Source organism: Homo sapiens, chromosome 4 (genome assembly GCF_000001405.40).
Source record: "Homo sapiens chromosome 4, GRCh38.p14 Primary Assembly".
NCBI lineage: Eukaryota > Metazoa > Chordata > Mammalia > Primates > Hominidae > Homo > Homo sapiens.
In genome coordinates, this window is record NC_000004.12 from 34994932 (window position 1) to 35004650 (window position 9719).

Genomic DNA, 9719 nt, shown 5'->3' on the forward strand with positions numbered 1-9719 from the left:
TAGATCTGTTCCTAGATCATAGGAGAATATGTGTGTTTTTGCATGTGTGCATTTGTGTGTGTGTGTATTTATACATACATGAATAAATATAGATATAATTAATGAATTAAATCTCAGTGGCTTAACTCTTCTCATGTAAAACTGCAGACTCACTGGAGACTTTAACGTTTGTCAAGATTTCCATCAGATTCTGGATGCATTTTAAATGCAACTTCAAGGACAAACCAAGTACCTAGGCTCTTCTTTCCATTTTATTACTCATGTTGACCCTTTTGATATAGAACTCCTTGAGCTCTTACAAGCTGAAGACGCTCAAATTGCTTAGTAAATTTCTCTTTCATGTATTTTCAGGAATCTCTGGTAAATGCATCCATGTTTCCCAAACCTGGCTTGTGGCCCTTTCTTGACTTGGCCAGCTACCTGGCTCACAATCACTGCTACTTGTTCTCTCAGAGGCCACACTACTCCCTTCTCCGAGGCTCATTCTCTGATTTCTATGAGGTTGCTACTCTTCAATTGCTTTTCTTTATTATTATTTTTATACTTTAAGTTTTAGGGTACATGTGCACAATGTGCAGGTTAGTTACATATGTATACATGTGCCATGCTGGTGTGCTGCACCCATTAACTTGTCAGTTAGCATTAGGTATATCTCCTAATGCTATCCCTCCCCCATCCCCCCACCCCACAACAGTCATGTCTTAAATGCAGTCACAGAACAATCTATGAACTACCACAGCTCCAGGTGAGACCCCACCTTTAGTGGTACTTGAATTAAATTCAGGGAAGACCCAGGGAAACAGAGATGGACACACAGAGAGATGAATTGACAAATGCCATCGGATGGAGCTTCTCTAACAGCCCATGGGGACACAGACCAAGAGATCATGGCTGGTATCTGTCAGCTTAGGAAGCATGCCTGCCTGGCCATTCCCAAGATCATCCTATGTGACAACAATCAGCTTATTTTCCCCTTACAGAAGCATCTTTGAAAATGCCTAAGGAATTTTCTGGATCAACCTTTTTATAAAACAGTATTACTGAGATATAATTGACATACAATAAATAATACATATTTAAGTGTATAATTTGATGAGTTTGACTTATTAATTCTCCCACGAAGCCATCAGTATACTCAATATTTATAAGACATTTTAACATTAAAGTTTCAGCTTCAATGTCCCCTTCTCAGAGATGCATTCCCTCATACCCTTATCTCGATTTTAAACTGTGGCAGCTTTTTTCAAGTACTCTTTAAGAGTTAACATCCATTTTATTCAGAACTCTGAACACTATCTTAAAATTATCACATGTGTGTGGTTTTTGCCATTGAAAGTAATTGTATAACACCAAATAATTGGCTCACAGTTCTGCAGACTGTACAGGAAGCAAGGCAGCATCTGCTTCTGGGGTGGTCTCAGGAAACTTACAATCATGGTGGAAGGAAAAGCGTGAGCAGGTGTCTGTCTTCACATGGCTGATGAAAGAGGAAGACAGAAAGGGGAGAGGTGCAATACACCTTTAAACAACCAGATCTTCTAATAATTCACTCACTCACTATCATGAGTACAGCACCAAGAGGATGGTGCTAACCCATTCATGAGAACTCTGGCCCAGTGATCCAATCACCTCCCACCAGGGCCCACCTTCAACACTGGGGATTATATTCAACATGAGATTCGGTGGGGACAGATTCAAACCATGTCAGGAGGTATCTATCACCTCAATAATTTATCCTTTGTGTTATAAACAATCCAATTTTATACTTTTAGTTATTTTAAAATATACAATTAAATTATTATTGACTATAGTCACCCTGTTTTTCTATCAAATGCTAGATTTAATTCATCCTCAGTATTTGTTTGTGCTCATTTGCCATTCCCAGTTCCCTCTCACCCTCCCTCATTACCCTTCCCAGCCTCTGGTAATCATCATTCTACTCTGTATTTCTATGAGTTTACTTATGTTGATTTTTAGCTCCCACAAGTAAGTGAGAACATACAAAATTTGTCTTTCTATGCCTGGCTTATCTCACTTAAAATAATGACCTCTAGTTCCACTCATCCTGTTGCAAATGATAGGATCTCATTCCTTTTAATGGCTGAATAACACTTCAGTGTGTATATGTATCACATTTTCTTTGTAAGGTTGCTTCCAATCTTGGCTATTGTGAATCGTGCTGCAATGAACATATAATAGGAGTGCAGGTATCTCTTCAAAACACTGATTTCCTTTTTGGGGGGTACATACTTAGCAGTGAGATTGCTGGATCATATGGTAACTCTATTTTTAGTTTTTTAGGAACCTCCAAACTGTTGTCCATAGTGGTTGTACTAATTTACATTCCCAACAACAGTGTACAAGGATTCCCTTTTTTCTGCATCCTTGCTAGATGTCTACTGTTTCAGTTTTAGCTTTTGTTTCCATGTTATATTTCAATTTGTAATCCATTTGATTAAATTTTTGTGAATGATGTAGTTTGTGAGTCTGTACCTAGATTTATTTCTTTTATCAAATGGATATCCCATTGTTCTTACACCATATAATGAAAAGACTACCCTTTCTACGTTGAGTTGTCTTTAGTTCTTCTCAACGATCAGTAGACTATATTAGTGTGGATATCTTTTGAGGCTCTGTATTTTGTTCCATTCACCTATGTATCTATATGTTGCCAGTATCATGATATCTTGTAGCTTTATAGTAAATCTTGAAATTGAATAGTATGAGTCTTCCAGCTTGTTCTACTTCATTAGTATTGTTTTGACTATCTTAAGTTGTTTGCCTTTTCATATAAACTCGACAATCAGCATGATGACATATGCAAAATATCTTGCTGAGGTATGACTGGGATTACATTTAATCTGTAGATCAATTTGGGAAGAAATGCCATTTTAACATTATTGACTTGTTCAATCCATCAACATGCAATATACCTCTGTTTAGATTTCCTTTTATTTGTGTCATCAGAATTTTACATTTTTCACATCAAGGTCATGCACATATTTTGTTATATGATTACTTAAGTATTACATTTTTGAGGCTATTAAAATGGCATTATATTTAATCTCAAATTCCAATTCTTTGTTGCTGGTACGTAGAAAAATATTTTTTTTTTGCACTTAAACTTGCTATATCACTTCTTAATTCTGAGAGTATTTTCTTAATGGAATCTTTTGGAATTTTCCACTTAGCCAATCAGGTCATCTGTAGACAAAGTCAGTTTTATTTCTTCTTTTTTAAATGGCATTATTTTCATTTATTTTCTTGTCAAATTGCTCTAGCTAGGACTTCCAGTATGGTATGTGATAGGAGAGTAAGAGAAGACAGCTCGTCTCATTTTCAATCTTTGGAATACCATTAAATATGACATTAACTATAAGATTTTTGGGGGGTGTTCATTATTAAATTGAGGAATTTCACTTCTATTCCTAGTGTGCTGAGATATTTTATTATAAATGAGTGTTGGATGTTGTCAAATGCTTTTGCCATACTTATTACATGATCATATGACTTTTTCTTCACTCTGTTGACAGAGTGGATTATATTAATTTATTTGTGGAAGTTGAACCAGCTTTGCATATCTAGAATAGTTTTTACTTGCTTGTGGTGTACATTTTTTGTAAATTCTTGTATTTAGCTAATTTTTTTTTTAAATTTTGCATCTCGAATTGAAAAGATATTGATTTTTAGCTTTCTTTTCTAAGTGATTTTCTTTTCTGATTTTAGTAGTAGGGCAATGCTGGTATCATTTCTTTCTTAAGTGTTTAAGTTTTTAATTGAATTCACCAGTTAAACCAACTGAGACATTTTTTTTAAATGTCAGTAATTATTGATTTAATTTTTTAGTAGATATACGTCTGTAGAAATTATTCACTTCTACTTGAGTATGTTTTGGAAGGTTTTGTCTTTCAGGGAATTGCTCAATTTTATCTAAGTTACCAAATTTGTAAGCACAGAGTTGTTCATGATATTTTTTATTATCCATTAAATGTCACTAGGATCAGTACTGATGATCCCTTTTTCCTTTTTGACAATGGTAAATTGTGACTTACATCTTTTTTCTTGGTCAGCGTGGCTAGAGGTTTATCAATTTTATAGATGTTTTCAAAGAAGCAGCTTTTGGTTTTATTATTAATTTATATTGCTGTTATATTTTAAATTACATTGATTTCAGCTCTATTTAAATTATTTATATTTTTCCTCTTTTGTCTTAAAGTGCTATTCTTCTCTCTAGTTTTCTAAGGTAGAAATACGTTATAAATTTTAGATTTTTCTTCTCTTCTTGTTTACACATTCAATGCTACATATTTCCTTCTAAGCATTGTTTTTGCTGCATCTCATAAATTTTGATCCTATATTTTCATTTTCCTTTACTTCAAAACATATTTTTAATTAATCTTATCATTTCTTCTTTGCACATGTTTAGAAGTATGATTTTTAATCTTCAAATATTTTGGAATTTTACAGTTATCTTTCTGTTACTAATTTCTAGTTTAATTCCATTGTTATCTAAGAATATACTTTGCATGATATCAATTTTTTTGAATTTGTTAATCTGTGGTTTATGTCCCAGAATATGTTCTACCTTGGTGAATGTTTTACGTTATGTTTCATTTCTATCAGTTTTTTTTTTTTTTTTTTGCCTCACAGATTTTGATGCTTTGTTATTAGGTACACACAAGAGAATACATGCAAGTATTGACCTTTTCGTCACTATGTAGTGTTCCTTATTATCAGTCATAATTTCCGTTTTTAAATGTCTACTTTGTCTGAACTTAATATAATCATTCCAGATTTATTTTGATAAGGGTTAACTAGCATGGCATTCCTTTCTCTATCTATTTTCTTTGTCTGTTGATATTCAAATAGGTTCTTGGAGACAACATAAAGTTGGGTTTTATATTTTCATCTATTCTGAAAATCTGTATTTTTACTGGTATATCATGACCACTTACATTTAAAATGATTATAGGTTTACTATGTTTGTAACTATTTTCTATTTGTTGCATTTGCTGTTTGTTGTTTCTTCTCACTCTTGTATTGCCTTCCCCTCTATTTCTATCTTCTCTGGATTTAATTGAATTTTTGGTATTATTCCATTTTATATGAGTTTTAGCTTATCAATATACAACATTTTGAATTTTTAAATAGCTGTCCTAGAGTTTGCAATGTACATTTACAACTAATAAGTCCACCTTCAATTAACACTATTTATTACTTTATACAGTTATATTTTAGATCACTTTGGGAATATGATACAATAAAAGGTATTTTATCTTTATTCCTCCTCTGATGATTTCCTTTCTTTAGTAAGTCTAAATTTCTATTATATATTACATTTTCTTCTCCAAGAATAAGTTCCTTTAAAAGTTATTGCATGGTAGATCTCCTGGAAATGAATTTTTTTAGTTTCCTTTGGTTGGAGAGAGACTTTATTTCTCCTTTATTTTGAAGAATAATTTCATTAAACATAAAATTCTAGTTTGGTATTTTGTTCTTACTATACTTTAAATATTTAACTCCACTCTCTTGCTGTCATGTTATCTTATGGGGAGTTTACTCTAATTATTATCTTTTTTCTTCTATAGTTAATGTCATCAGTCATCTACAGAGACTTTCTACAAAATATTCTACAAAGATTTTTTTCCTTGCACTTGGTTTTCTACAATTTGAATATAATATGTCTAAATATAGACAGTTTGGTACTTAATCTGCTTGATGTTCTCTGAACATCCCAGATTGGTGTTTCGATACCTATCATCAACTTCGTAAAATTTCCAGCCATTATTATTACATCAAGTATGTTTTCTGCTATGGTCTCATATATCTCTCTGGTATTCCAATTATATTAATGTTACACATTTTGAAATTGTCCTACAGTACTTGGATAGTTTGTTGTTGTTGTTGTTGTTTTCATTTATTTTTCTACTTTCATTTCATTTTGGGATGTTTATTTTAATGTATCTTGAAAATCATTAATTCTTTTCTCAGCCATGCCCAATTTACTAATATGTCATTGAGTGGTACTCTTCAAACGTGTTACATTGTTTATGATTTCTAACATTTTCTTTTGATTTTTTCTTAGAGTTTCCCAGTCTCTGCTTACATTTCACATATGTTTCTGCATATTGTCTAATTTGTCCTTTAGAGCTCATATATTAATTATAGTTATTTAAAATTCCTTGTCTGATAATTCCAAAATCTGTGTCATATCTGAATCTGATCTGATACATGATTTGTCTCTTCGGTGTGTGGTTTCTTTCTTTACTTTTAGCATGACTTGTAATTTTTAGTCAAATGCTACATTTGATGTATTGGGTAAAAGCAACTCAGATAACAGCATTTATTGTAATTTTATGTTAGTCTAATTAAGAGTAGGGCTGTATTTAATGTTTGCTGTAGCCACAGGTTTCAGTAGTTTCCTTTTTGACCTTTATATCTCTCCTGCTGTCTTTGGGCTTCTCTACAAAATGTTCCCTACATGGAGTCTGCACCTTGCAGCTCTTTCAGTAGTAACCCAATGTTATTATGTTGAAGTCCTATTGACATGGTGGTAAGGTGTGGAGGAGAGAAGGTGTTTTATATATTTATGATTATGTCTCTGTCTTTTAGTGGTCTGTGTTCTTGTCTTTTGAGTTTCACAAGTGTTTCTTAATCTCTCACCTTAGGTTAGCCTGGAAGAGTAAAGGGGTCTCAAGTTGCATAAACACCCTATCCCTAAGAGGGATAAGGCTCTAGTAAAGTCTTTTATTCTGAGAATTGGCCTTTTATAAGAGGTACATTCTGGACCCAATTCAAAATGGCTTGTCATGAGGATATCTTTCTAAGTTCTTCACTGTGTAAGTCTGGTCAGTTTGTGAAGGTAAAACACATAAAAGTTTATCTCCTTCCCCCAAGCAGTAGCTCTCAGGGGTTTATCAACTCTCACACTAGTCCATAATCAGCATCTATCAATTCATCAATTTACCATTTAAGTTTTCTTACCAGTTTATGACTTCAAGAGATTTTGTTTCAGCTGCAATTTTCTGTATTTGCCTGTTTCTCCAGATTTCAGAGATGGTCTTCACCCACAATCTCTGTGGATCTTAAAAAGTTCAGATCTTTATGGATACTATAAAACAAGTCATTGACCCTTAATTTGTTCTGCATTTTTCTTGTTGTAAAGATGGGAATGACAATTCCCAAGTTCTTTATATATTTGTGCTAAAACAGTAAGTAAATGAAAACAGCTTTACTAAGATGTAATTTGTACACCATAAAATCTAACATTGTAAATATACAGTTGTATAATTTTGGTAAATTATTACAGTTGTAAAACAATCACCACAATCTAATACTTCAACATTTCCATCATTCAGAAAATTTTTCTTGTTCCCTCTGTCAGTCAACATTTCCCACCCCGAGACACAGACAAGCACTGATCTGCTTTCAGAATCTATAATTTTGCATTTCCTAGAAATTACATGTAAAATGAATCCCAGAATAAGAATTATCTTGTTTTTCTTTCTTTCAACATAATGTTTTTGTGATTCATTAATGTTGCATGTGTCAATAGTTCATTGTTTGTTATTACTGAATATTATTTGATTCTAAAATGTGTATGTGGCATATTTTGTTTATTCACTAGTTGATGGGAATATGGCCTATTTCTTGTATTTTGCTATTTTGAATAATTCTGCTAAGAATATTTATGTGCAAGTCTTTCTGTGAACATATGTTTTCATGTCTCTTGAGTAATTACGTAGGAGTGAAATTCTTGGGTTATATGGTAAATTTAGATAAAGCTTTTAAAGAAACTACCAAAAAGTGTTCCAAAGTGGCTGTAGTTTTATATTCCCACCAGCAATGTATGAGGGTTCCAGTTTCTCCATATTCTCAACATGAGTTAGCACAATTTGTCTTTCAGATTATGCCTTTTCTAGTGGTCACATTTCAACTTACGTTTCCCTAATGAGATATTATTTTGAACATATTTTCATGTGCTTATCAGCCACTCTTATGCTTTCTTTGGTGAAATCCACATTCAAAACTTGTGCTCATTTCAATAATTGAGTTGTCTTTTTGTTACTTCATTGAAGTGTCCTTGATAGACTTTAAATAAAAGTTCTTTTTTGAATATATGATTTGTAAATATTTTCTACCAATCTGTACCTTATCTTTCTGTGGACTTAATGATATGTTCTGAAAGCAAAATATTTTTATCGTGATATCAGTTTTTTAAAAGGGTGGATAAAGTTTTGTGTCACAACTGAGAACACTTTGCCTTATCCAAACCTATGAGGATTTTCTGAAATATTTTGTTAGAAGTTTTGCAATTTTTTTTTTTTTTTTTACCGTTAGGAGTGTTTTTGTAGACAATATGAAGTAAGGTTCTAATTTTACTTTTTTGCATATAAATCTAACAGTTCCAGCATTTTTAAAATGTGTAAAAATTAACTGACCATAGGTCAACATTTGGACTTGTTATATTGTCTATTTGATTTATGTATGTCGATTACTGTAGCTTTTTATTAAATTTGAAATCAGGTAGTATAAGTCCTCCAACTTTATTCATTTTGAAAATTGTTCTACTATTGCAGTTCCTTTGCAGTTTATATTAATTTTAGGTTCAGATTTTTAACTTCTAAAATGATTCTTCTGGAATTTTAATAACATTTGTATTAAATTTATAGGTTGATTTGGAAAATCCTAGGGAGAAAATATTCAGTGTTTAAACAATAAGTGTCTTATTTACTTTTGCTTTTTTGTAGATATTTCTTATCAAGTTGAAAAAAATCCTTTCTGCTTCTAGTTTGTTGAAAAACTGAAGGATAATGTGTAATGAGTTATGTAAGATAGTTTTTCTTCATCTATTTGAGAAATCTGGTAGCTTTTGTTCTTTATTCTGCTGAAGTGGTATACTAGATTATTTTGCTTCCAATCTTAAATCTTCTTTGTATTGTAGGATACATTAATTCCTGGGATACACCCAGTTGGTTATGCTGTAGAATCCTTTAAATATGTTTTCAGAATCAACATGTTAACATTTTGTAATGATATTGCATCTTTTGGTGAGAAATATTAGTATGTAGTTTTCTACACTAATAAAGCCTCCATTTTGCTTTGGTATCACCTCAATTCTGGCTTCATAGGTTAGGTTAGTAATTTTTCCTTCTTCTCTACATTCTGAAAGTTTATGTTGTAGTGGTATTGTTTCTTCTTCAGTGTTTGATAAAATTTACCTGTGATGCAATCTAAGCCTAGAATTATATTTATACAAAGATTTTTATTATGACCTAATTTTTATTACTTCTTGGGTCTATTCAGGTTTTCGATTTTCTTTTCAGTCAGTTCTGGTAAATAATATAGTTCGGGTAATTTTTAAAATTTTATCTATGTTGTCTTATTGGTTGGCAAAAAGCTATTCCTAATATCCTGTTAAGGTAATTTTAACTTCTGAAGGATCATTGATGATAATTTCTCTTATTCCTGATTTTGGTAATTTGTGTCGCCTATATTTTTCCTGATCATTCGAGAGAGAAGTTTAAAAATTATACGGATTTTCAAAAAGAACAAATTTTCTATTTTAGTTACGTTTATTCTACTGATTTTCATTATTTATTTCACTGATTTCCACATTGATATTTATTATTTTCTTCTGCTCACTTCAAGTATCATTTACTGTATTTTTATTGTTCTCAGGTGGGAGCTGAGGTTATTAGTTTGAGATCCCTTTTTTG

General features: G+C 31.9%; 1 long non-coding RNA gene across 1 annotated transcript; it reads right to left on the minus strand.

The window, feature by feature from the left end:
* Nucleotides 1-1253: 1253 nt before the first annotated feature.
* LOC124900846 (uncharacterized) lies at nt 1254-7086 on the minus strand. The gene is made up of 2 exons (XR_007058443.1): nt 6985-7086; nt 1254-1477 (listed from the first exon to the last, which is right to left on the minus strand). It is a non-coding gene; the product is annotated as an uncharacterized LOC124900846 (long non-coding RNA).
* Between the last annotated feature and the right edge of the window lie 2633 nt (nt 7087-9719).